The 24,583-nt window shown below is 51.5% G+C and overlaps 1 protein-coding gene and 1 non-coding gene across 11 annotated transcripts, besides 6 other annotated features; one reads left to right on the top strand and one right to left on the bottom strand.

Moving 5' to 3' along the window:
- Window positions 5-54: a silencer, noted in NCBI's record as "silent region_8152". NCBI's record gives its function as "represses an Ori minimal core promoter by ATAC-STARR-seq in GM12878 lymphoblastoid cells {active_cell/tissue: GM12878}" and the evidence as "EXISTENCE:reporter gene assay evidence [ECO:0000049][PMID:35858748]".
- Window positions 428-500, bottom strand: TRK-TTT3-5 (tRNA-Lys (anticodon TTT) 3-5). The gene has a single exon. It is a non-coding gene; the product is annotated as a tRNA-Lys (tRNA).
- Window positions 575-674: an enhancer, noted in NCBI's record as "active region_11663". NCBI's record gives its function as "activates an Ori minimal core promoter by ATAC-STARR-seq in GM12878 lymphoblastoid cells {active_cell/tissue: GM12878}" and the evidence as "EXISTENCE:reporter gene assay evidence [ECO:0000049][PMID:35858748]".
- Window positions 739-23,755, top strand: ALOXE3 (arachidonate epidermal lipoxygenase 3). 10 transcript variants are annotated; one of them, NM_001165960.1, is made up of 16 exons: window positions 739-959; window positions 1,352-1,811; window positions 2,675-2,879; window positions 3,967-4,048; window positions 4,598-4,717; window positions 5,046-5,171; window positions 7,459-7,562; window positions 8,124-8,296; window positions 9,127-9,270; window positions 9,360-9,563; window positions 9,653-9,739; window positions 10,312-10,481; window positions 11,066-11,187; window positions 15,440-15,540; window positions 16,162-16,332; window positions 22,849-23,755. In NM_001165960.1, exons 1-16 carry the CDS (start codon window positions 877-879, stop codon window positions 23,026-23,028), a joined length of 2,532 nt encoding a protein of 843 aa, NP_001159432.1. In that variant the 5' UTR covers window positions 739-876; the 3' UTR covers window positions 23,029-23,755. The 10 variants fall into 10 exon arrangements, with proteins under 10 accessions (NP_001159432.1, NP_067641.2, NP_001356375.1 ...); NM_021628.3 differs by lacking the exon at window positions 739-959 and adding an exon at window positions 1,141-1,169; NM_001369446.1 differs by lacking the exon at window positions 739-959 and having other exon boundaries at window positions 5,049-5,171.
- Window positions 776-1,975: an enhancer, noted in NCBI's record as "CDK7 strongly-dependent group 2 enhancer chr17:8020998-8022197 (GRCh37/hg19 assembly coordinates)". NCBI's record gives its function as "activates an origin of replication core promoter dependent on BRD2, BRD4, P300/CBP, MED14 and CDK7 cofactors, with strong dependence on CDK7, by STARR-seq in HCT116 cells {active_cell/tissue: HCT116}" and the evidence as "EXISTENCE:reporter gene assay evidence [ECO:0000049][PMID:35650434]".
- Window positions 825-894: an enhancer, noted in NCBI's record as "active region_11662". NCBI's record gives its function as "activates an Ori minimal core promoter by ATAC-STARR-seq in GM12878 lymphoblastoid cells {active_cell/tissue: GM12878}" and the evidence as "EXISTENCE:reporter gene assay evidence [ECO:0000049][PMID:35858748]".
- Window positions 975-1,054: an enhancer, noted in NCBI's record as "active region_11661". NCBI's record gives its function as "activates an Ori minimal core promoter by ATAC-STARR-seq in GM12878 lymphoblastoid cells {active_cell/tissue: GM12878}" and the evidence as "EXISTENCE:reporter gene assay evidence [ECO:0000049][PMID:35858748]".
- Window positions 9,161-9,490: a silencer, noted in NCBI's record as "silent region_8151". NCBI's record gives its function as "represses an Ori minimal core promoter by ATAC-STARR-seq in GM12878 lymphoblastoid cells {active_cell/tissue: GM12878}" and the evidence as "EXISTENCE:reporter gene assay evidence [ECO:0000049][PMID:35858748]".

Genomic DNA, 24,583 nt, shown 5'->3' with positions numbered 1-24,583 from the left:
GCTGTTGGATATGGTAGACACCGTTATCGAGCACTTGAAATATATGAATTCAGATGTATTGCCAGCTTCTAAATACACATCTTCTTTTGAAGGAAGGCTTTGTACAAACAAAAAGACTTAAAATTTCATTAATATTTTTAGAATGTTGATTATATGTTAAAATAAGATTTTGGTATATTAGGGTAAGTAAAATAGATCCGTGAAATTAATTTCGCTTGCTTTTTATTCTTTGTAATGTGGCTACCAGAAAATGTAAATTCGATAATACGGCTCGCGTTTGTACTGTTTTAAAGTATGTTTATTACCCTCCACCGTCGTTTGCTGTATTTTGTGGAAATCAAGTTTCTGTATCACCTAGCTTTAAAAACTAGTAACTATTTTTGTTACCATTTTATGCGAAGTGCGGTACCCAAAAGCAAAGACATGCCGCCCGAACAGGGACTTGAACCCTGGACCCTCAGATTAAAAGTCTGATGCTCTACCGACTGAGCTATCCGGGCTCTTCACGAGAGCTTTACTTTTTGCTTATAAGAGGGTTCTCTATAGGAAAAGCCAGGCTTGTAGAACCGACAGAGGATTTTATCTGTGCAGCATAGAATATTTTGGCACAGATTTGGAAGCAGCGGGTGAAGCTCGCCTGCTGCTGATTGAGCTTTTTCTGCCTCCCGTTCTTAGAGCCCCCGCCGAGGCTGCGACGCAGGGACTGTACCATAGTAGAGGCTGGAACAGTGCGGCGCCGGAACCGGCCGCGCGGGGCCGCTGCGGGCTATGGGCTTCTCTGAGAGGTTCCTCCCCAGTCCCTAGTGGCCCAGATCCCGGACACCTGGGCTCCCGCCCAGGATCCTGCAGGCCCAGGGCGGTCCTGGAGCGGAAAGAATGCCACGCGGGGCATTCAGACCCTGTTTGCCGGCGCTGTATTTCGCTTTCCTGACCTGCCCTACTCCAGAGCAGAGAATGAGGTCGGGCGTGCCAAAGGCTGGGGACAAAGAGGGCCATGCGTGGGGGGATCGGTGTATGGGGTGACAGGGAGCTGTTCCTGACCATTTGACATGTGCTGGAATGCGTGTGCGACTCACCTGCGTGTGGCTGCAGTCACGTGTGATTTATGACCAAGTGCAACTCTCCACTGTTTAGTGATTCACACGGATGATTCACACGTAGGAATGCAGGTGCCCTGTGCTCATCTCTGCCTGGGAATGGGGAGGAACAGATCTTGGGGGACATTGGGGAGTGGGCGGACAAGCACTCCAGGGCATCAGTCCGGGCCGCTGACCAGGCGGAGGGCAGTGTCCCAATTATACAGGCGTTACCTCCTTTTCTCCATCTCAGCATCTGATCCCTCCCTCCGCAGTGGAACCCAGGCTCCTGATATCCATCTGGGTGAGCCAGCCAGAGGGACCGGCTGTGTCAGAGGCAAGCAAACAAGTATTAGAGTGCAAGACTGTGGGCGGAGAGAGGAAGCCCGAGCCGCCAGCAGGGAGCTTCGGAGAGAGAAAGCCCAGGAACATCCCAGAGAGAGCTGGGCCCATCCTCAGCCCTACCCAGCCCCGCAGCCCCTAGCCCTCCGCCCAGAAACCCAGCCCTGTCCGGCGTGCCGCTCTTCTCCTCCAGGCCGGCTGCTGCTGCGGCCAGCGTTGCCGGGGCATCCCTTCCTCCTTCCCATCATGGCAGTGTACCGCCTGTGTGTGACCACTGGTCCCTACCTGAGGGCCGGCACACTGGACAACATCTCTGTCACACTGGTGGGCACGTGTGGTGAAAGCCCCAAGCAGCGGCTAGATCGAATGGGCAGGGACTTCGCCCCTGGATCGGTGAGTACAAAGGAGACAGGGAAGCGCGACCTCAGAGGGGCAGGGGCCGCAGGCGGGAGGAGTATTCCTCCTGGACTCTTGAGATCCTGCTGAACTCAGGATACCGGCCCTGACCTCCTCACCTTCCCTATTGAGGTCCCTGTCTTTCCTGGAGATGATGAACTCCATCCAGGCAGGACTGTGGAGAGGAAGGAGCGTTGGACAGGGAGTAGAGGGACTTCCCCTGGCTCCTAAACTCCTCCCATAATTGACCGTGGGCTTTGGGCAAGTCGCTTCCCCTCTCTGAGCCTGGGTTTCCTCTTATCGAGGGGATCTGCCTGCCTCTGCCAGCCCCAGGTGGCCTCCACAAGAGTTCCCAGCCGGCCTAGGAAGCTAGTGAAATGCAGTGCCCACTGTGCTCGGGCACCTTTTTCTTTTCTTTTTGAGATGGAGTTTTGCTCTTGTTGCCCAGGCTGGAGGGCAGTGGTGTGATCTCAGGTCACTGCAACCTCCACCTCCCGGGTTTAAGCGATTCTCCTGCCTCAGCCTCCCAAGTAGCTGGGATTACAGGCGCCTGCCACGACGCCCGACTAATTTTTTGTATTTTTAGTAGAGAAGCGGTTTCATCGGGCAGGCTGGTCTCAAACTCCTGACCTCAGGTGATCCACCCGCCTCGGCCTCCCAAAGTGTTAGGATTACAGGCGTGAGCCACCTCTCCCGGCCCGGGGAAGCTTTTTCTAATTCATACAAAAGCCCGGTATGGGCTGGGAGCAGCTCAGGTTTGTATGCCCGAATAGGCTTAGGTGTAGATGCATCTTGCAAGGCGCAAGGACCGCCTTGGCAGTTCCCCGCCTCTCACCTGCTTGCTGTCTTGGTCCCCTCAGGTACAGAAGTACAAGGTGCGTTGCACAGCGGAGCTGGGTGAGCTCTTGCTGCTGCGTGTACACAAGGAGCGCTACGCTTTCTTCCGCAAGGACTCTTGGTACTGTAGCCGCATCTGTGTCACCGAACCGGATGGTAGTGTATCCCACTTCCCCTGCTATCAGTGGATTGAAGGCTACTGCACCGTGGAGCTGAGGCCAGGAACAGGTGGGCCAGAGACGAGGACTACACTGTACTGCAGAAGGTGTCCTTTGGGATTAGGAGTGGGGTCTCACAGAGCCCCAGAGTATAGGGAATAAGATTGAGGTCAGAAACTCTGGGCTCCCAAGTAGATGTTTTCTGAAAAAAGGGAGCCTCTCAAGCCCTGAAATGCGAGGGTTTTGCAGACGGTATTGACTCTTCTGGAGACTCACATAGACACATACACTCATATAGGCAGGCACCCTTCTCTCATACACATAGGAAGCACTTTGCTTTCCACAGCCTCCCTCTGCACTTCTCCAGAGTGAGTTCCTCCAGACCCCAGAGAGGAACTAACCTGCACCCTGAGTCATTAGATTTTAACAGGTAGAGAAGCCCTGGCTGCTCAGAGATTTTAGCTGGAGAGGCCCCATTCCCTCCCCTACTACTAGCTTTTCTAGTGTGGATGAGGTCCCTGAGAGGTGCTGCTAGGATTCCTTGTTGAATTTCTGGGGCCTTCTGCAGATGCTGGGCTTGAGCATCTTCAGTTTCCAGAGCTATCTGATCTGGAGAGGCAACAGTAGGGCTGCTCTGGGTGTTGGGAGGAGGCTCAGGATGAAGGAGGGATATTCTAGGTCAAAGTGAGGCAAATGAATATTACCCCATGGTCCGTAATAAGTTTTCCATAGACCTCACTATAAACTCTCATCCATCTCCACAGCACATCCATCCATAGCTTCACAAAATATATTTGTTCATCAGTCATTTAAAGTGCATCTTATACACATGGTGCCAGGCACCATGCTAGAAGCCGGGAATACAGAAGAAGAAAAAGAAGAAAAAGGAATACAAGACGACTTCTGCCCTCAGGGAGTTTATAGTCTGGAGGGGAGATAAACATGCCAACAATTGGGAAGATTGCTATAATTTGGGGGTGAAGCTGTCTTGAATCCCTTCTACTGATGAATACACAAAGAACGTGGGGGCACCGCCACGTGTTTCACAGGGATGTGGCTGTCGGATTGGGTTCAAGGGTCAGGGGGTTCAGGCAAGGTTTGCAGAAGATGTTGTTGGAAAAGAGACTTATACCAAGAGTAATTTTCATTCCCCACAGCAAGAACTATTTGTCAGGACTCTCTTCCCCTCCTCCTGGATCACAGGACACGGGAGCTCCGGGCCCGACAAGAATGCTACCGGTGAGGGTGGCCTAATTTGACTTCTTTCCCCATCTTTATCCTGACCTCAGTCTTAATCAGATTGTTCCTAACTCTAACCTCATTCTCAACCTTGGGTGCCTAGCTTGGATCAGGACTCTTATTTGGACCTAACCCCACTTTAATAGTGACCCTGAATCTGAACTGAGAACACCAATAGTAACAGTTGTCCCAACACCACCAATGAATCCATACTCAGCCCTCAACTGTCCCTGATGTAACCCAGATCCCAATATCAGAAGTGACCTGAAGTATCCACCAATCTCAGTCCTTTCTCAGCCTCCCCCACTAAACCGGCCATGATTTTAATCTCAACACAAACCCATCTCTAACCCAGTGTGGGCATTAATGCCATCCTTAAATGCTACCCTATGTGAAGCCAGTGCTTTCATGGAGAAATGTCCAATTCCTTGTCACTCATCCAGAAAGTAGGTGGTTTTTGAAGTTTTAATCTGAAGCCGTGTCTTTAAAGCTAAGACTTGTGTTTATCCCGAGCATGACCTGCCACCTCTGACCTCTTTCCCTCGGAAGCTGGAAGATCTATGCCCCTGGCTTCCCCTGCATGGTAGACGTCAACAGCTTTCAGGAGATGGAGTCAGACAAGAAATTTGCCTTGACAAAGACGACAACTTGTGTAGACCAGGGTGACAGGTGAAGATTAAAGCTTGGGAAGGAGGGGAAAGGAAGTCAAGTGGAAGGTCTGTCGGGAGGATGGGGTCCTGATAGCCAGGAAGGAGGGGTAGGGGTCTATGACAATGCAGTTTCATTCAAGCATCAGGATGGGAGATGGCCCCAAAGGGTCTGGCACAGGGGACAAGAGTGAGGAGGTTATTTTAGCTCAGGAGCAGAGAGGGCAGGGGAGGAGCCGGGAGTAAGAGAGACCCAGGGACTTGGAAGGCAGGAAAGAGGGAAGGAGTTGAGCAGCTGGGCTTCAGGGCCCACTGACTGGTTTCTGTCTTTCTACTCCCCCGACCCCCAGCAGTGGGAATCGGTACCTGCCCGGCTTCCCCATGAAAATTGACATCCCATCCCTGATGTACATGGAGCCCAATGTTCGATACTCAGCCACCAAGACGATCTCGCTGCTCTTCAATGCCATCCCTGCGTAAGGCCATTGTCCCTCTAATGAACATCTTACATCTCTGCCCATCCATCCCCCTCCCCGTGCTCCCAGACTGCCCCTTCTCCCTATTCCCAGTATCCCCTCTCCCTGCCCCAGTCCCTCCTCTCTGGACTCATTCCCTCTCCCTGCCCCACAGTCTTCCCTCTCTACATGCCCCCTGCCCCCTTCCTGCCCTTGTCTCCCCCTTGTGCTCCCCAGTTCCCCTCTCCCTGCCCCCAGACTCCTCAGCCTCTGCTTTCATGATTGAACTCCTCGTGGTTTTCCCACCCACTGGGTGTTAATTGGGCCCCCAGCGAGTGTGTGTGCAGTGAGTGAGTGAGTGCTTAGGAGCCCAGGTGACATCGTTCCTGGGCCTGTCCGATCATTCATCCCCCCTTGCCACCCTCCCTTCCCCAGGTGCCCACACTTTTCAGGGCACATCACTTTTTTTTTTTTTTTTTGAGACGGAGTTTCACTCCTGTCGCCCAGGCTGGAGTGCAGTGCCGCGATCTCGGCTCACCGCAACCTCTGCCTCCTGGGTTCAAGCGATTCTCCTGCCTCAGCCTCCTGAGTAGCTGGGACTACAGGCAGGTGCCACCATGCCGGCTAATTTTGTATTTTTAGTAGAGATGGGGTTTCTTCATGTTGGTTAGGCTGGTCTCAAACTCCCGACCTCAGGTGATCCATCTGCCTTTGCCTCCCAAAGTGCTGGGATTACAGGCATGAGCCACCACGCCCAGCCCACACATCTTTATACATCCTATGTTATTGACCTATTGCCACACGCCTACTTGTTCCATGTTCCATTCCTTTTGTTGTTGTTGTTGTTGTTTTGAGACGGAGTCTCACTCTGTTGCTCAGGCTGGAGTGCAGTGGCTCGATCTTGGCTCACTGCAGTCTCCACTTCCTGGGTTCAAGCAATTCTCCCACCTCAGCCTCCCGAGTAGCTGGGATTACAGAGATGCACCACCACGCCTGGCTAATTTTTGCATTTTTAGTAGAGACGGGGTTTCACCATGTTGGCCAGGCTGGTCTCGAACTCCTGACCTCAGGTGATCGGCCCATCTTGGCCTCCCAAAGTGCTGGGATTATAGGCGTGAGCCACCGCATCTGGCCTCCATTCCCTTTCCTTTGATTCAGCTTATTTAGTGAGTGCATATTATGAACTGGATATGGTGGGGCAGACATAGCCAAGTCCTTGCCCTGAGGAGCTCATAGTATAATGGGGATAATATATGTCCACTGGGCTTACAATACAATGTGGGAAATGATGAGTGTGAAAGATCCAAGGCATGTGTTCATGGAGGAGTTCATGTGTGCAAGGAGGAGTTCAGGCAATGCTCCATAAAGGACTTTGCTTCTGAGCTGTGCCTAGAAGAGATAGATTTTTATCATAGAGATGGAGTAGATGGCTTTCTACCAGAGGTGAAGATTAAATGAAGACCTGGAAGTGGGGGAAAGCCATTTTAATTTCAAGCATGCTTCTCCATATTATAAAATAATGTTGCAGGGCATGGTGGGGCACATCTGCTACTTGGGAGGTACTACATGGTAGTGCCTGCTACTTGGGAGGTTGAGGCAGGAGGATTGCTTGAGCCCAGGAGTTTGAAGCTGCAGTGAGCTATGATTGTGTCTCTAAACAGCCACTGCACTCCAGCCTCGGTAACACAGGGAGATCCCATCTTAAAAAGAAGGAAAAAAAAAATAGTGCTCACTGTAAAAATTCAAACAGCACAGACATCCACAAAGTGAAGAGTATGCATCTCTCCACGTGCCAGCCCCTCTTCTACCTTCCAGTGTACAAAGCATGTCTCTGATCATGTTTGGAGAGCGGGTCTTGGTTGGCCCTGTCTAATGCCTAGGGTGGGAGAAAATACTGGAAAGGTTGGTAGAAGCTGGCTGGTGGGGATCTCCATGGGCTAGTCAGGCTTGGCAGCTGGGGCTCTGTCCTGTAGGCAGAGGGGAGCCAGTGGAGGTCTGTGACAAGAGGGCAGCTTGGAGAATACAGGCCAAAACACCAGTGAGGGTGGCTTGTCTGCACCATAGGGCCGTGTGTGCCAACTTTATGTGCAAGTGCAATGACCTGTCTTAGGGATGGCTGCATATGAACCAGGGTCTTCCGAGGCCACAGAGCCTCCACCGGGTACTAGACTTTTTCTCCCATGTGGATTGTTAGGCATCTCTACTCTGGGGATGGACCCCGTCAGTTCCTCCAGGCAGAGGGGCACACAGTGATTCCCAGCAGACTCTAGCCCCCAGACCTCACCCTCATCTTTTCCTCTCCCATCAGGTCCTTGGGAATGAAGCTTCGAGGGCTGTTGGATCGCAAGGGCTCCTGGAAGAAGCTGGATGACATGCAGAACATCTTCTGGTGCCATAAGACCTTCACGACAAGTGAGCAGAGCCAGGCAGGAGATGTCTACCCCTCACCTTATCTCATGCTCAGACCCCTTCCTCTCCTTCCTGGGAAAGGGCCCTCTCCCAGCCCTCCCAGGGAGACTGCTGGATTTGAGTGGGAGGGGCTCCTGGCTTCACTGGTGGCATCTCCCAGATTCCTCTGGAGAACAAAGCACCTTCTCTGAGGAGGGGACAAAAACAGGGGATTCAGGAGAGAGAGACACTCTGCTTGCCTGGGAGAGGGTCACAGTCATTTAGGGAATCTTGATCCTCATCAGGGACACACGACTCTCTTCCCCTACTCCAACCACCAAGTGCTCCGGGCTTTGGGTCCAGAAAGGCTTAGGTTCTCAAATCCCTGCTCTGCCACTCAGCTGTGCAAGTCACTCCATCTCTCTGACCCTTAGTGTCTAGTATTAAATTGAAGATATAATGATTCCTACCTCATAGAGTTTTTGGGAAGAAAACCTAAACCACAATGATAAGCAAAGGACTTGGCAGGACTAGGATCTAGGGAAGTAGTTTCTAGACCAACTGGTCCCCTCTCTTGTATCCCAGAGTATGTCACAGAGCACTGGTGTGAAGATCACTTCTTTGGGTACCAGTACCTGAATGGTGTCAATCCCGTCATGCTCCACTGCATCTCTAGCTTGCCCAGCAAGCTGCCTGTCACCAATGACATGGTGGCCCCCTTGCTGGGACAGGACACATGCCTGCAGACAGAGCTAGAGGTGGGTAAGGATCTGGGCAGTGGGCCTGATAGGTGGGAGGTGGGTGTGTCACCATTATGGACAAGGGATGTGTGTGGAGGGTATGGAAATGGCCTGGGCTGCATTTCACCTGTGGGCCTCATCCTCTGGGCAGCCATGGTCCTGCACACTTTAAGTAGAGCAGATACGGATGAGGGTCAGACTGGGGTTGGGAGGCTTTGAGGCCTGAGATGGGGCCTGGTGAAATGGTGTGAACGCGCAGGGTGGCTGCAGGGACATCTTTGAGGAAGGCTTGCCCTTGTTTTGAGGCCTCCTGAAGAGGTGCTGAGGCCTAGAGGAAAGCTGTTTTAGGACAGGCCAATGGTAGGGCCACCAGATGCATCAGGGAAGATCACGGAGAACTAGGAGCTCTGAGGTTGTCGGAGACGAGGCTAACCCAGTCTTTTTGGGGCAGTCAAGCCCTCAGGCATTCTCCTCCAGAAAGCTAGAGACATGGTTGGTCAGTTCTCATGTGTTCATTTAGCTGTTGCTGGATACATAGTGCTCAGATGTCAGAAGGGGATTCCATCTGAGTTGAGAGTGGGAAGGACTAGGTATGAGGTGAGGAGGAGAGGACGCTGGCTTGTCTCAGCAGGCGAGCTGTTGCACAAGGAGGGACTCAGCTGGACCTCATTCCGGACATTTTGGGAAGGGCGGGGTACCCCACTTTGGCCATTAATTCAGGCACCAAGAATTTCTGAGACCTCAGCTGGGGGCCTCAGCTCCTCTCTGGGGTGGAAGTGGGCAGGGAAATGGGAGGGAAGTGGAGCGCGAGTAGGGAGGGACACTCAGCCTCTGTGTGCCTTCTGCAGAGGGGGAACATCTTCCTAGCGGACTACTGGATCCTGGCGGAGGCCCCCACCCACTGCCTAAACGGCCGCCAGCAGTACGTGGCCGCCCCACTGTGCCTGCTGTGGCTCAGCCCCCAGGGGGCGCTGGTGCCCTTGGCCATCCAGGTGAGCCCGGCGCCGCCGCCCCGGGATGGGGGCTCAGGTGCTAACCGCCAGCCCGGAGCCCCATCATCCCTCGTTCCTTTCGGACGCAGCTCAGCCAGACCCCCGGGCCTGACAGCCCCATCTTCCTGCCCACTGACTCCGAATGGGACTGGCTGCTGGCCAAGACGTGGGTGCGCAACTCTGAGTTCCTGGTGCACGAAAACAACACGCACTTTCTGTGCACGCATTTGCTGTGCGAGGCCTTCGCCATGGCCACGCTGCGCCAGCTGCCGCTCTGCCACCCCATCTACAAGGTCCGCGACCCCGGGTGGGGGCCCAGCGGGGCAGGGGCCGGGCGGCCTTGTCCCCGGCCTTCAGCTCACGTGATCCGCTCCGCTCGCAGCTCCTACTCCCCCACACTCGATACACGCTGCAGGTGAACACCATCGCGAGGGCCACGCTGCTCAACCCCGAGGGCCTCGTGGACCAGGTGCGGCCTCCCTGCCGGGTCACTGATCTCCGCCCCCGAAGACGCTTTGCCCCGCTACCCGCCCCCAAGCCCTGTTCTGCGCCCAAGCCCCTTGTGAGGACACCTGGGGTGTGAGAACACCTGTACAATCACTGCCTCTTCCACCAGCCCCGCCCACTCCGCCGGTCTCCGGTCTCCTACCGGCCCCCTTCACAGACCCTGTCTCCCCCGCCCCCGCAGCCTCACCGCCCCCGCCCACCGCCCCCAGCCCCGCCGGGCCACGGGTCCACAGGCAGGGCAGCCTCATCCTGAGCCCCAGCACTACCCTCAGCTGACCCTGAGCCCAGCCAGGCTCCCCGGCTTTCAGTTCATTCTTTTAGTTACCAAATACCTAAGGATCTCCTCCCACGCACGTAATGGGGCGTCAAGCTGCGCAGCCTGCGTCAGGCAGGCCCTCGTGGGTATTTGATCCGTGGATTGCTTGGTGAACCGAAGAAGGCCCTCCTTGGGCCGAGTCCCCAGCCCCATCTCGTGCCCAGACACTAGGGTGGGGATTGGGCCGGCCCGGGAGCCGAGCTGTGCTGTGTCCTCAGGTCACGTCCATCGGGAGGCAAGGCCTCATCTACCTCATGAGCACGGGCCTGGCCCACTTCACCTACACCAATTTCTGCCTTCCGGACAGCCTGCGGGCCCGCGGCGTCCTGGCTATCCCCAACTACCACTACCGAGACGACGGCCTGAAGATCTGGGCGGCCATTGAGAGGTGCGAGGTGCGGGGCGGGACCAGCAGTCCCACCAGGGTCTCCTGGCCTGGGACATTGTGGTCCCTGCGCTCATGGCGCCTGGGGATTTCAGGTGTTTTCACACCCTAGCATAGGGAATTCTTGAGGGTATGAATTGAGTTTGGGGTCCCTTCTGAAATGGCAGGTAGCTGCCGTCCAGAGAGGGGCTTGGGGGTGTGTGGATGCAGGGGAAGGAGGGGGTGTCCAGTGGAGTCAGAGTATCAGGGCTGGTGCATCATTTAAGCATGGGCTGGGGCCTGTGGCAGGCAGGTCTTCCTTCCTCCTGGGTGGGGAGGGGGGTGGCAGCATGAATCAGACTCTTCGTGCACTCCCCTGCCCACCCCCCAGGCCCCTGTGCAGGAAGGAAGTGTGGAGCACCCATGGCTCAGGAGTGAGTGGGACTTAAGGGAAGCCCGGCCACTCAGATTCCAGCTGCACCTGGGGGTCCCTGCTGAACCCCCATGGCTATCTGTCTCTCTGCCGCCTGAGCAGCAGTGGGCCTCGGTTTCCTGGCCAGGACTGAGCCCGTGGTTACTCCAGTGGTACCAGCATCTCTTTCCTGCAGCTTTGTCTCAGAAATCGTGGGCTACTATTATCCCAGTGACGCATCTGTGCAGCAGGATTCGGAGCTGCAGGCCTGGACTGGCGAGATTTTTGCTCAGGCGTTCCTGGGCCGGGAAAGCTCAGGTATCCCCTCTCTATCCCACTTTCCGTGTAGCTCTGATGAGCTAGCACTTGCTTGGCCACACCCTACTCCCATCAGTTATTTATTGACCAGCCTTTGAAGTAGATACTATTAATATCCCCAACTAGCAGATATGGAAAGAGGCACAAAGAAGGCTGTGCAAGGCGGGTTCCGAGCCAGCTCCGACTGTCTCCAAAGCCATTGCTGCATCCACTGCTCTGTGCCCCTCTGGTCCCTTGACCTTTCCACAAGCCCACCCATTCATTTCAGCTTCCTGAGCTCTGTCAATATTCTGCAACGTGCAGTGGGAGCCATCTCTGACTTCAGAGGATTCTGGGAACTTTCTCTCAAACCCTCCTTCCTGTCCTGCCACGTGGCCCCTCCAGCCACCAACCTCTCTTCCTTTCTTTCTTTCTTTCTTTCTTTCTTTCTTTCTTTCTTTCTTTCTTTCTTTCTTTCTTTCTTTCTTTCCTTCCTTTCTTTCTTTCTCTCTCTCTCTCTCTCCTTCCTTTCTTTCTTTCTTTCTTTCTTTCTTTCTTTCTTTCTTTCTTTCTTTCTTTCTTTCTTTCTTTCTTTCTTTCTTTCTTTCTTTCTTTCTTTCTTTCTTTCTTTCTTTCTTTCTTTCTTTCTTTCTTTCTTTCTTTCTTTCTTTCTTTCTTGTTTTTTTTTTTGAGACGGAGTCTCCCTCTGTCGCCCAGGCTGGAGTGCAGTGGCGCGATCTCTGCTCACTGCAAGCTCCGCCTCCCGGGTTCACGCCATTCTCCTGCCTCAACCTCCGGAGTAGCTGGGACTACAGGCACCCGCCACCACGCCCAGCTAATTTTTTGTGTTTTTAGTAGAGACAGGATTTCACCATGTTAGCCAGGATGGTCTCGATCTCCTGACCTCATGATCCGCCCGCCTCAGCCTCCCAAAGTGCTGGGATTACAGACGTGAGCCACCTCGCCTGGTGCGAGACAGAGTCTTACTTTGTTGCCCAGGCTGGAGTGTGGAGGCACAATCTCGGCTTACTGCAACCTCCACCTCCTGGGTTCAAGAGATTCTGCTGCCTCAGTCTCCCGAGTAGCTGGGATTACAGGCGTCTGCCACCACATCTGGCTAATTTTTGTATTTTTAGTAGAGATGCAGTTTTGCCATGTTGGACAGGCTGGTCTTGAACTCCTGACCTCAGGTGATCTGCCCACCTCGGCCTCCCGAAGTACTGGGATTACAGGTGTGAGCCACCGCACCCGGCCTTGGAGTTTTTAAAGGGTGACCCTTCCCTGTGTTTTGCAAACCTGCTATTAATCATGATCAGTGCTGATCCTGACAGCTCCTCCCTCCTTGGGCAGTTGTTTCATATTTGGGGTGTCTGTTTCCTACTTAAGACCCAAAGGGGGATCTAATTACTGTTAATTCAACTCTCCTATCTTACTTTATTTCATTTTTCTCTGATTTAATGCATCAGAACACTCTTCAGATTGACAACAGCTCTTCCAACAAGTATAAACCTATTGTAGATTCATATACAGCATTTAAAAAGGGAAAACACACTTATTAACCTCAGTCAGTCTGAGGTTAATTCAACTCTCCTATCTTACTTTATTACATTTTTTTCTCTGAGTTAGTGCATCAGAACATTCTGCAGATTGACAACAGCTCTTTCAATGAGTACAAACCTATTATAGAGTCACATACAGTATTTAAAAAGGGAAAACACACAAGTTAACCTCCACCTCCCGGTTCAAGCGATTCTCCTGTCTCAGCCTCCCGAGTAGCTGGGACTACAGTCGCACACTACCACGCCCGGATAATTTTTGTATTTTTAGTAGAGATGGGGTTTCTTTCACCATTTCGGTCAGGTTCCATATTCCAATGGGGGAAAAATAGGCAATATGAACTACGGAAAAGTTCCTATAGATGGTCTGTCCACTTCTTTGTTTTTATTTTTTGTTTTTGCTCATGTTTTGTTTTTTTGAGACAGGGTCTTGCTCTGTTGCTTAGGCTGGTCTCAAACTCCTGGGCTCTATTGATTCTCCTGTCTCAGCCTTCCAAGTAGCTGACACTACAGGTGTGTCTGCCTGCTTTACTTTTTTGTTCTCAGCCTCCGAGTTTAGAGACTCAACCAGGAACAGAACCTTCAGAAAACTCCCACACACTCCCAGGCGGATGTCTGGTCTTGCCTCCCAACCTCTCTGTTCTGTTGCATCAGCCTCCGTCCAGTCAGCCTGACTCCAAACCTTAGTTCTCTTTGACTCATGTTTCCCTCTCTGTCTTCCTAAATCCAGTTAGGTGGCTGATCCCTACTGTCACCACCCTAGTTGTAGTCTTCCTCATAGTGCTCTGGAATTGTGGCAGCTGCTTCTCAACCAGTCCCACCTCTCCCAGCCTCTCGCTGCTTGCCCGCCAAGCCTGCAGGGCCACCACCCTGCTAATCCTCTGAAATACTGCCCAGAAACCACATGGCCCTGCATGCCTCTGCAGCCTCACCTCCAATTAGGTCCCCTCCCTGTTCCCTCACCCTGTTAATACCCCGTGCCTTCCTACTCTGGCTTTTTTTTTTTTTTTTTTTTTTTGAGGCGGGGTCTCACTTTGATGCTCAGACTGGAGTGCAGTGGTGTGATCACAGCTCACTGCAGCCTTGACCTCCCAGGCTCAAGTGATCCTCATGCCTCAGCCTCCCTGGTAGCTGGGACTACAGGCATGCACCACCACATCACTGCATCCAGTTACCTTTTTAAAAAATGTTTTTTAGAGACAAGGTCTTGCTATGTTGCCCAGGCTGGTCTCAAACTCCTGGGCTTGAGCAATCCTCCCACCTCTGCCTCCCATGCTCTGGCTTCTTACCCTCTCATGCATTCCTTCATTCAACCAATAATTACCGGGCTCTTGGTATTTATTAAGTATTGTTCTAGGTGCTGAGGTTTAGTAGTGAAAAAGACAAAAATTCTGGCCTTAGTTGAGCTTAACATTCTTTTGGAGAGAGAAAGAGAGAATCAACAAACACATGTCAGGTGGTTATGAATGCTAAGAGGAAAACTGAAACAGCATCAGGGGATACAGTGTGTCAAGGTAAAGAGATCATTTCAGGGAGGTGGCCAGGGCAGGCCTCTCAGGAGCTGATGCATTAGTAGCTGAAGGAAGGAGAGGTGCTAGTTCTGAAGATAATTGGGGCAAGAGTAGCAGGCAGAGGTATAGTAAGTGTGCAGGCCCTGAATTCTGAATGTGCTGGTGCATTTGAGAACTATCAGGAAGGCCTGCACAGCTGGAGTCGAATAAGTGAACAGCCAGGAAGGAAATGAAGTGGGAGAAGGGGCTGGGGCCCAATCAAGTAGGGCCATGACAAGGTGAGTGAGATGGGAAGCCCTCCGAGGGTTTTAGCGAGGGGTGACGTAATCTGACGGGCATTTGTCCTTGCCAGTGTGCAGTGTGAGGTGGTGTAGATGCTTAGGTGGGGACGTCAGGTAAGCTGCCTCCAGGGTAATGCCCACGGCTGAGTCTGGAGCTCAGACGCCAGGCACAGCCAGAGAAGGGAATTTGGGAGTTGTTGGCAAGTGGGAGGTGGTTAGAGCCATGGACTTGGATGAGATGAGTGAGGCACAGCATGAATGGACCAAGGGCTGAGCCTTGGAGCTCTCCCCTCTCCAATCCTGAAATGCTTTTCTCTGTTGTCTTTTTTCCATTGGAGGCTCATCCATCTTTCAACTCACAAGGCCCCTCTTGTCCTCCAGGAGGCCTCCACTAACCACTCTGCTCCTGGTGCCCCTTTCTGCCCTGCTTGCCCTCTCCTCAAAGAGCCAAGCTCTGGTCTTAGAAGCTTCCTTCTGCTTCTGTTACTGTGAGCTTTTCAGTAACACGCCCTCTGCGTGGGTCTCTGCTGCTAAGCCCAGCAGAGGATGGTTGGATACTGGGTGCTTGAACAAATCTTGGTGAACCGGGTAGGATTAAATCATTACATCCTAATAGGGGCTGCAGATTGAAGTGCCTTGGAAGTCAGGGAGAGGCAGCTGGGCACTTGGGCTTGAAGCTGCCTCTGTCATTGGCCCTGCCTGCCGGGGATTTTCTGGCCAGATCCCAGCCCCCATCTCCTATCCTGACCCACTTCAGAGACCACAAATCTTGGTGGTGGCCATCCCTAACCAGCCCGACAAGACAGTCATGGCTCGGTGTTCCCTACTTCCTCACTTTCCCCCTGTGGTGAGCCCCAGTCCTGAGCTGGCCCTAGGAATCCAGTACCTTCCATCCACACCCTCTACCCTTCCTCCCCACACCCAGGTTTCCCAAGCCGGCTGTGCACCCCAGGAGAGATGGTGAAGTTCCTCACTGCAATCATCTTCAATTGCTCTGCCCAGCACGCTGCTGTCAACAGTGGGCAGGTGAGGCTACAAAGGGCAGGCCTGGGGACATCAGGTCTCAGCAATGGACTTGAGGCCTGAATTTGGGTTGAGAGCTTGGGTGGGTCAGCGTTGGGGTGGGTTTATGATTAGACTTGGGGTTGGAGTGGCAGCTGAGTGGGGTGAAGGGTTGGCATTGGGTGATGACTGGGTGGAGCTGGGTCCAAGGTTGTAATGGTGATTCAAGTTGATGTTAATTTGGGAGAAGAACTTAGGGGCTCCTCTCATGGTTAGAACCCAGCCAGGTGGAGTAGCAGCTTGCTCTGTGTGGCATGGCAACCCAAGGCCCTTTTCTAGGATTACCTCCACTCTGGGGCCACCTCCTTCCCTAGTGACTCACCCCACCGAGTCCTGGAACACTGGGCGGGGAGTGACAAGGAGTAAGCTGGCTTCCTGCCCCACTTCTGGGACTTTCCACTCCCTACCCTTTCCTCTCTTGCCTTTCCATGATCCCCTCATTTCCCAGCTCTCTTGCCTTTCCGTGATCCCCTCATTTCCCAACTATCACCTCTAGGACGGCAGAGGTGGAATCAGGGATGGTGAAGAGGGAGGTGATACTCCCCTTCTGGCCAACTGACCCAACTGGGATGGGGGTCTCCACAGCATGACTTTGGGGCCTGGATGCCCAATGCTCCATCATCCATGAGGCAGCCCCCACCCCAGACCAAGGGGACCACCACCCTGAAGACTTACCTAGACACCCTCCCTGAAGTGAACATCAGCTGTAACAACCTCCTCCTCTTCTGGTTGGTTAGCCAAGAACCCAAGGACCAGGTGTGTATACGGGATGTTGAGGGGAGTAGGGTTCTTTAGGGCCACCAGTAGGGGTGGTGGTGGCTTCGTCTGGGGGCTTGAGGACTGATCGACGGGATTTATGTTCACTGCAGAACTGCCTTGGGTTCTTCAATTTCTTCAGAAAATGATAATCCCAAAAGACATAGACTGAAGCAAATACCAGTTTAGTTACCAATCTGTCCGTCCATCCATTTATCCGAATGTTCATTCATCAACTACTCATGTGTTAATGCAAACATTCAATAAACATTTGTTGGATACTTCCTATGTGTCCACACAGCACTGGGCACCAGGCCTATAACGCTGGCTGAGACCTTCCTGCCTTCAAGAAGCCTGTGGTCTAGTTGAGGAGACATACAGGTCAATGAAAAAGGGCACCACCGTGTTGTAGGAGTTACTTATATGTTAATTTCTCCATTCAACACACACTTCCTGAGTACCAGTGGTGACCCAGACACTGTTATGGGCAGCTATGAAACTTGTCCATGTGAGCTTACAGTCCAGTGATAGGGGTAAGGACAGGGCCCTGAGGAACCTAAATGGGTCTGGGGGAACCCAGGAAGGCTTCTTGGAGAAAGTGACATCTAAGTTGAAATCTGCAGGACAAGTAGGAGTTGGACAGAGAGGAAGAGCAGGGCTCTTTTTTAGGGAGGGGGAAGAACAGGACCAAGGAGCGAAGGCGAGAAATCACTGGTGTGTTTGTAGGATCACAAATGGAAATAGCAGAGCGGAGAGGAAGGTAGGGCTTTGTCTGCACAGTGTTCGTTTAGAAGACAAAGGGTAGCCAATCAAGGCTTCCCCCACCCCCCCACATGGAGTCTTGCTCTGTCACCCAGGCTGGAGTGCAATGGTGCGATATCAGCTCACTGCAACCTCCGCCTCCCAGGTTTAAGCGATTCTCCTGCCTCAGCCTCCCGAGTAGCTGGGATTACAGGCACCCACCACTGTGCCCAGCTAATTTTTGTATTTTTAGTAGAGATGGGGTTTCACCATGTTGGCCAGGCTGGTCTCGAATTCCTGACCTTGTGATCCACCCATCTTGGCCTCCCAAAGTGCTGGAATTACAGGTGTGAGCCACCGCGCACGGCCGCCAATCAAGACTTTTAAGCCTGAGGCCCAATGGTTAAATCTGCTTTAGCTAGGGTGCTCCTGTGGCTGCGTGAATGGATGCAAAGGGCAACTTTGGAGGCAGGAGGCTAGAGAGGGGCCAATATCTGAGTTTAGGCCAGGCAAGTAGCCCTTTATCACTGGTTCCCATCATCTTTGTTTCCACCCAGCCGTCTTGCACACAAGCTCTCTAACAGGTGAATATTCTTATTTCTCACGCTTGACTCCCTTTGGTGCTGGAAAGATTCCAGATGTTGCTGGGCACAGTGGCTCGTGCCTGCAATCCCAGCACTTTGGGAGGCTGAGGCCGGTGGATTGCTTGAGCCTAGGAATTCAAGAGCAGCCTAGGAAACATGGTGAAACCCTGTCTCTACCCAAAACACAAAAATTAATCGGGCGTATTAGTGTGTGCCTGTGGTCCCAGCTGCTTGGGGGGAGCTAAAGTGGGAGGATCACTTGAGCCCAGGAAGTAAAAAAATGCAGTGAGCCATGTTCACGCCACTGCACGCCAGCCTGGGTGACACAAAAACAAAAAACAAAAAACAAAAAAACAACAAAAAAAGAAAGATCCCACATATTTGATCTTCCTGGCAAGTTTTAACTTGCTACCTTATATCCTGGGAATGGCAGGACTCTGGGTCCTGTCCCTATCTGGTCCCAGAGGGATGACAGATAAGTAGACAACAGCATGAGGGTGGAGGGCTCTCTCCTATAAACTATAGAAAGTTTAACTTGGAAATTTATAACAACAATAATAATGGCAGCTGTCACTGAGGAGCCATCATGTCTCAGTTATTAAATCAGATCCTTTGTGTACATGATTTTAAAATGTGAACCAAATACATAGCTCTATTTAAAATGCTTGGCAGCCAGGCGTGGTGGCTCACGCCTGTAATCCCAGCACATTGGGAGGCCGAGGTGGGTGGATCACCTGAGGTCAGGAGTTCGAGATCAGCCTGGCCAACATGGTGAAACCCCCATCTCTACTAAAAATACAAAAATTAGGTGGGCATGATGATGCATGCCTGTAACCCAGCTACTCAGAAGGCTGAGGTAAGAGAATCACTTAAACCCGGGAGGCAGAGGTTGCAGTGAGCTGAGATGGTACCACTGAACTCCAGCCTGGGCAACAAGAGTGAAGTTCCATCTCAAAAAAAAAAAAACAAAAAAAAAGCAGCTTGGCACCGTGCTGGCATATAAATGTTCAATAAATGGTAGTTCCACTTCACAGGGGAGAAAACTGAGGTTCAGGGAGATTCAGCAATTTGTTCAACAGCACAGAGCTAGTAAGTAGGCTTTGAATCCAGTGTCATATTTCTGTCTTCTGCTGTGTTTTCTCTTTCTTTCTCTGGTGTGTGTGTGTGTTCTGTTTTTTTGATGGCTATACTACAGTTTTAGAAATCAAGTATTAAGCCAGGTGCAATGGCACAGGCCTGTAGTCCCAGCTACTCAGGAGGCCGCAGAGAGAGGATTCCTAGAGGCTAGGAGTTCAAGGCTGCAGTGTGCATGACCATGCCTGTGAATAGCCACTGCACTTCAGCCTGGGCCACATAACAAGACCCCATCTTTAAGAAAGAAAAGAAAAAAAGAAATTAGATGTCAATCTGATTTTAAAAACATAAAACTTGTTATTTCAAAAAAAACCACAATACAATAAAATAAAAAAACTACAGACATATTTCTTTTTTCTTAAGATTCTCTGGATCAGAAATTTGGGCAGGGCTAGGCTGGGCAGTCCAGAGGGTACTGGCTAGGGTGAAACACTTGCATGCAATCAGCTGGTGACTGGGCTGTGCTGGAAGTTCCCAGAAGGCTTTGCTCACATGTCTGGGGCCTCAGTGCACCTGTGTGGTTTTTCTCTCTCTCCATATGCTGTCTTATCCCCCAGGACTCTCCAAGGGGTCTCTCCCCAGCAGGATAGCTGGACTTCCTCATAGCACGGTGGCTGGCTTCCAAGATTGCAAACAAGCTTTCAGATTTCTTCAAGTCTAGGCCCAGAAGTGGCAGACTGTCACTTACAGCACTATTTTTTTTGCTTCCGTCCCTCCCTCCCCCCTCTCCCTCCCTCCCTCTCTTTCTTTCTCTCTCTTTCTCTCTTTTGACAGGGTCAGGTTGTCTGAAAAAAAGCCTGGTCAACTCCAGACAGGGTCACCCAGGCTGGAGTGCAGTGACATGATCATGGCTCACTGCATCCTCAAACTCCTGGGCTCAAGAAATTCTCTCACCCCAGCCTCTCCTGTAGCTGAGGCCACAGGCATCACCACGCCTGGCTAATTTTTTGATTTTTGGTAGAGACAGGGTCTTGTTATATTGCCCAGGCTGGTCTTGAACTCCTGGGCTAAAGTGATCCTCCTGCCTTAGCCTCCCAATGTGCTGGGATTATAGGTGTGAGCCACTGCATCTGGCCTAGACAATTCTAATCAAGGAGGAAAATAAAAAAGAGAAAGAAAGGGAACATAAATACACAGCATTAGGAATGGGAAAGGCGTATAACCACAAATGCAGAGAAGATTTTTTACTTTTTTTTTTTTTTTGAGACAGAGTCTCACTCCGTCACCCAGGCTAGAGTGCAGTGGCGCGGTCTCGGCTCAGTGCAACCTCTGCCTCCCGGGTTCAAGCAATTTTCCTGCCTCAGCCTCCTGAGTAGCTGGGATTACAGGCATGCACCATCACACCTGGCTAATTTTGTACTTTTAGTAGAGATGGGGTTTCTCCATGTTAGTCAGGCTGGTCTCGAACTCCTGACCTCAGGTGATCCACCCATCTCAGGCTTCCAAAGTGCTGGGATTACAGGCGTGAGCCTCCGCGCCCGGCTGGTAGTACTAAGAAGGGCAGTGGGTCTCATTGGAAGGCTCTAGTCCCAGATCCACACCTACCACCCATATGACTTTAGTTATGTAATGGCCTCTCTAAGCCTTATTTCCTTATCTTTAAAGTGAGAATAATAAGAATACCTGTCTTCAGAGTTGATGTATGGTTGCGATGGTTCATGTACAGTGCTTACGTGTTAGCTGTTATTACGAAAATGAAATTATAAGGCCGGGTGCAGTGGCTCATGCCTGTAATCCCAGCACTTTGGGAAGCAGAGGCAAGAGGACCGCTTGGGCCCAGGATTTAAGACCAGCCTGAGTAATATAGTGAGACCTTGTCTCTCCAAAAAAAAAAAAAAAAAGAAAACTAGCCGGGCATGATGGCGTATGGCTGTGATCCCAGCTACTCGGGTGGCTGAGGTGGGAAGATTGCTTAAATTTGGGAGTTCAAGGCTGTGGTAAGCTGTGATCCCATCGCTACACTTCTGCCTGGGTGACAGAGTGAGACCCTGTTTAAACAAAAAAAGAAAAAAATATATATATACTTATTCCACTTAGCTACAACAATCTTAAAAATATATCAGCCAATGAAGGCCAATAGTGAATAATAAAACAATAACACACCATGATAAAGTCTAATTTATTCTAGGAATGAAAGGAATGAAAGGTTGGTTCAACCTTATGAAATCTAGCAATATAGTTCATTACGTCAATAAAGATGCATACCATATAATTATCTCAATATGTGCTGAAAAAGCATTTGATAAATGTGAGCAGCCATTACTAATAAAAACTCAGTGTAAAATGAAACCCCCTTAAGGAGTTTTGATTAGAAGTATATTTCAGGCTGGGTGTAGTGGCTCACGCCTGTAATCTCAGCACTTTGGGAGGCTGAGGCAGGTGGATCACCTGAGGTTTGGAGTTCAAGACCAGCCTGGCCAACATGGTGAAACCTCATCTCTCCTAAAAATAAGAAAATTAGCCAGGCATGGTGGTGGCTACCTGTAATCCCAGCTACTCGGGAGGCTGAGGCAGGAGAAATCACTTGATCCCGGGAGACGGAGGTTGCAGCGAGCCAAGATCGCGCCACTGCACTCCAGCCTGGGTGACAGAGCGAGACTCCGTCTCAAAAAAAAAAAAAAAAAAAAAACAAAAACCAAAAGTATATTTCAAAAAACACTGTATTTATGGTGAGACCATAGATGTCTATTCATTAAAGTCAGAGATAAGAAAATAATGCCCAATGCCCACTATTACTGCTGCTATTTAACATTGATCTGGAGGGCTTCGCCAATGCAACAAAACGAGAAAAAGAATTTGTTAAAGATCAGTAGTATTGGCTGGGCGTGGTGGCTCACATCTGTAATCCCAGCACTTTGGGAGGCCGAGGCGGGCAGATCACGAGGTCAGGAGATCGAGACCATCCTGGCTAATACGGTGAAACCCTGTCTCTACTAAAAATACAAAAAATTAGCCAGGCATGGTGGCAGGCACCTGTAGTCCCAGCTACTCGGGAGGCTGAGGCAGGAGAATAGCGTGAACCCGGGAGGTAGAGCTTGCAGTGAGCCGAGATCGCGCCACTGCACTCCAACCTGGGCGACAGTGCGAGACTCTGTCTCAAAAAAAAAAAAAAAAAAGATCAGTAGTATTGGCAACAATTATATGAAGGTTCTAGTAAATGGGAAGTGTGTGCTGGTTAGGAGGCTGGACCTCTGCGTTGTCGTGATGAGCTGGTTGTGTGATATGATCATGAGGGAGGGACAGTCCTGTACACAGGATGGCAGTGACTGGAGCTCATTGTGATATTTCTCGATAGTGATTGGCTGTGCTGTAAAGTGTGGCAGTGGAGGATGATGGTGATTGTGTTGGCAAAAGTTCCATCACGATGGTTGATTGTGAAGGTACCTTAGAACCAGGATGCTGGTTGTTTTTAGGAGTTGAATTTTGTGAAATTATGAAGTAATTGTTATATTCTTGGGTATATTTCCTGGGCAGTGTTTACTTTGATCTCGGTTGTATGAAAGGTGTGGTTCGTTCTTTTAGTTCACAGAGCAGTTGGATCAGGTATGAAAGGGACCTTTAAAGGTCTAGGCCAGGCACGGTGGCTCACACCTGTAATTCTAGTGCTTTGGGAGGCCAAGGTGGGAGGATCACTTGAGCCCAGGAGTTTGAGGCTGCAGTGGGCTATGATCACACCACTGTACTCCAGCCTGGGCAACAGAGTGAGACCTTGCCTCAAAAATTTTTTTTTCTAGTTCAACCCATCCATTTTCAGATGCAGGAATTGAGTCTCAAAGAGTCAAAGTAACAGGCAGAGGCTTGCCAGCAGAGGCAGTACTGAATTTGGGTTGGCTGGCTCCTACGTCACAGTCTGTCCCCTACTCTGTTTGGGGTTTGGGTGCTGGGGGGCCTCGTGTCAGGATCATGGGGTGGCAGTTTGGGGCAAGTGTTTACAATGGCTGCAACTGGGTTGTGCTACTAGAAGCCACCTTGACTGGATTTGCTGTTACATGTGGTCCTCCGTTATTCCCCATCCCATCTGAATGTCATCCTGACCTCTTACCTGATGTCCTCCCAGAGGCCCCTGGGCACCTACCCAGATGAGCACTTCACAGAGGAGGCCCCGAGGCGGAGCATCGCCGCCTTCCAGAGCCGCCTGGCCCAGATCTCAAGGGACATCCAGGAGCGGAACCAGGGTCTGGCACTGCCCTACACCTACCTGGACCCTCCCCTCATTGAGAACAGCGTCTCCATCTAACCACCCCCAAATACCACCCAAGAAGAAAGAAAGGTCCAAGCATGAGGAGGACCAGTTCCTCAGGTCCTCCAGACCCTTCCATCCTCCCTGTTCTCAGTTCACCTGAACCTTCTCTTCTGCACATGGAGACTTTTGCAGCCAAGATGGCTCTGACATCATACAAACTGGGCCCTGAGCTGTGAGAGACCAGCACAGCAGCGTCCAGGTTAAAAGCCGCTGACCAAAGTCCAATGCACAATAGCCCCTCCGAAAGGAAGGAACCGCTTCACTTCTTGCCCCACTTGGGGCAGCCTCTTGTTCCAGCCTCTTGGAATGCCCAGCTTGGGTTTCTGAGCTTTTCTCCCTCATCCTCCCCAATCCCCAAACTCCTTCTCCTACCATGCCTTTCTACGTTCTCTTTCTTCCAAGCCTAGAGCCACCAGCCCAGCTTCCTTCTCTGGAAAAGCCTGGAAACTGGGCACAGAAGGACTGTGTGCCTGGGTCTAACATGTGGTCCCCTTTGTCCCTAGCACCTTTAAGGGGAGGGGAAGAATTGGAGGGCAGCTTGCCTGGACCCCTAACGGCTGTTCTCAGGAACAGGTTCCCAGGCCTGGGGTGTTTGTGGAGATCTGTCTTTCTCCAAAGATTTCATCCAACTCCCCTTTCATCCCACTCCCTTTCATCCCATTTTTTTCTTTCTGTCCTTGAGCCCAGTGAGTTCAATAAAAACCAAAATATTTGGCTCTCATTTTGTTTTGCTGCTTTGATGTGTGTGTGTGTATGGGTGGGTGAGGTTGGGGGTGCCAGGGGATTGCAGTGAGGGGCAGCAGTGGATCCGTGGATCATCTATTCTGGAGACAGAAGTGTCCCGGCTCAACGCACTATCCAGCCAAGCCATATATTCCTGCCCTCACCTTCCAGAGTGCATCATCAGGAGGTGAGGGAATGTCTGGATTCAGGGGACTGAGAAGTGGAATAGTGAGTATTTTGTGAAGCCTCAGAGTCTGGGTAATTGTTAACGTTGCCACCGAAATCCAGTTCTCCTCCTGGACACATGGAAGGCTCAGCCTCTGGCCCTCTTGTGGATGGGTACAGTCACAGGATGAGTTTTGGTTGAGTTGGGAGCAGAAGGGATGAGGATCGTCTCCAGGCCACACGGAGACCCCTGATTTCCTTCTCTCTGCCTCTCCCTTCCGGAAGCACATGTTGAGATGGCACTTGCTTGTGTGTCCAAGGGACTGTAGAAGAGGCCCCCGCTGACTGAGCCAGACATGGACTGAGTGAGAAATAAACTTGTCAGGTGAAGCCACTGGAATTTGGGGGTTGTTACTGTGGTATAGTCTAGTTGATCCTGGCCACATGGCTGGTAATATGGGGAGTCTGATTTTCTCCCTTCCAGCCCCACAGCCCTTAAACATAGAGATCTGTGCAGCCTCAAGTCAGTCTCCCCGGTCTTCTTAATCCACAGCCGCCCAACACCCTGGTTTTCTGCTTCCCCAGACCTCAGATCCAGCCCACCTTCCTTCCTTCCTCTGCCACCTGAGTCAAATTCTGTGCCTGACCCAACCCTGGTCAT

This window comes from Homo sapiens, chromosome 17 (assembly GCF_000001405.40).
Source record: "Homo sapiens chromosome 17, GRCh38.p14 Primary Assembly".
NCBI lineage: Eukaryota > Metazoa > Chordata > Mammalia > Primates > Hominidae > Homo > Homo sapiens.
Note: the sequence above shows the minus strand (reverse complement) of the source record. Positions and strands in the feature narration are given on the sequence as shown.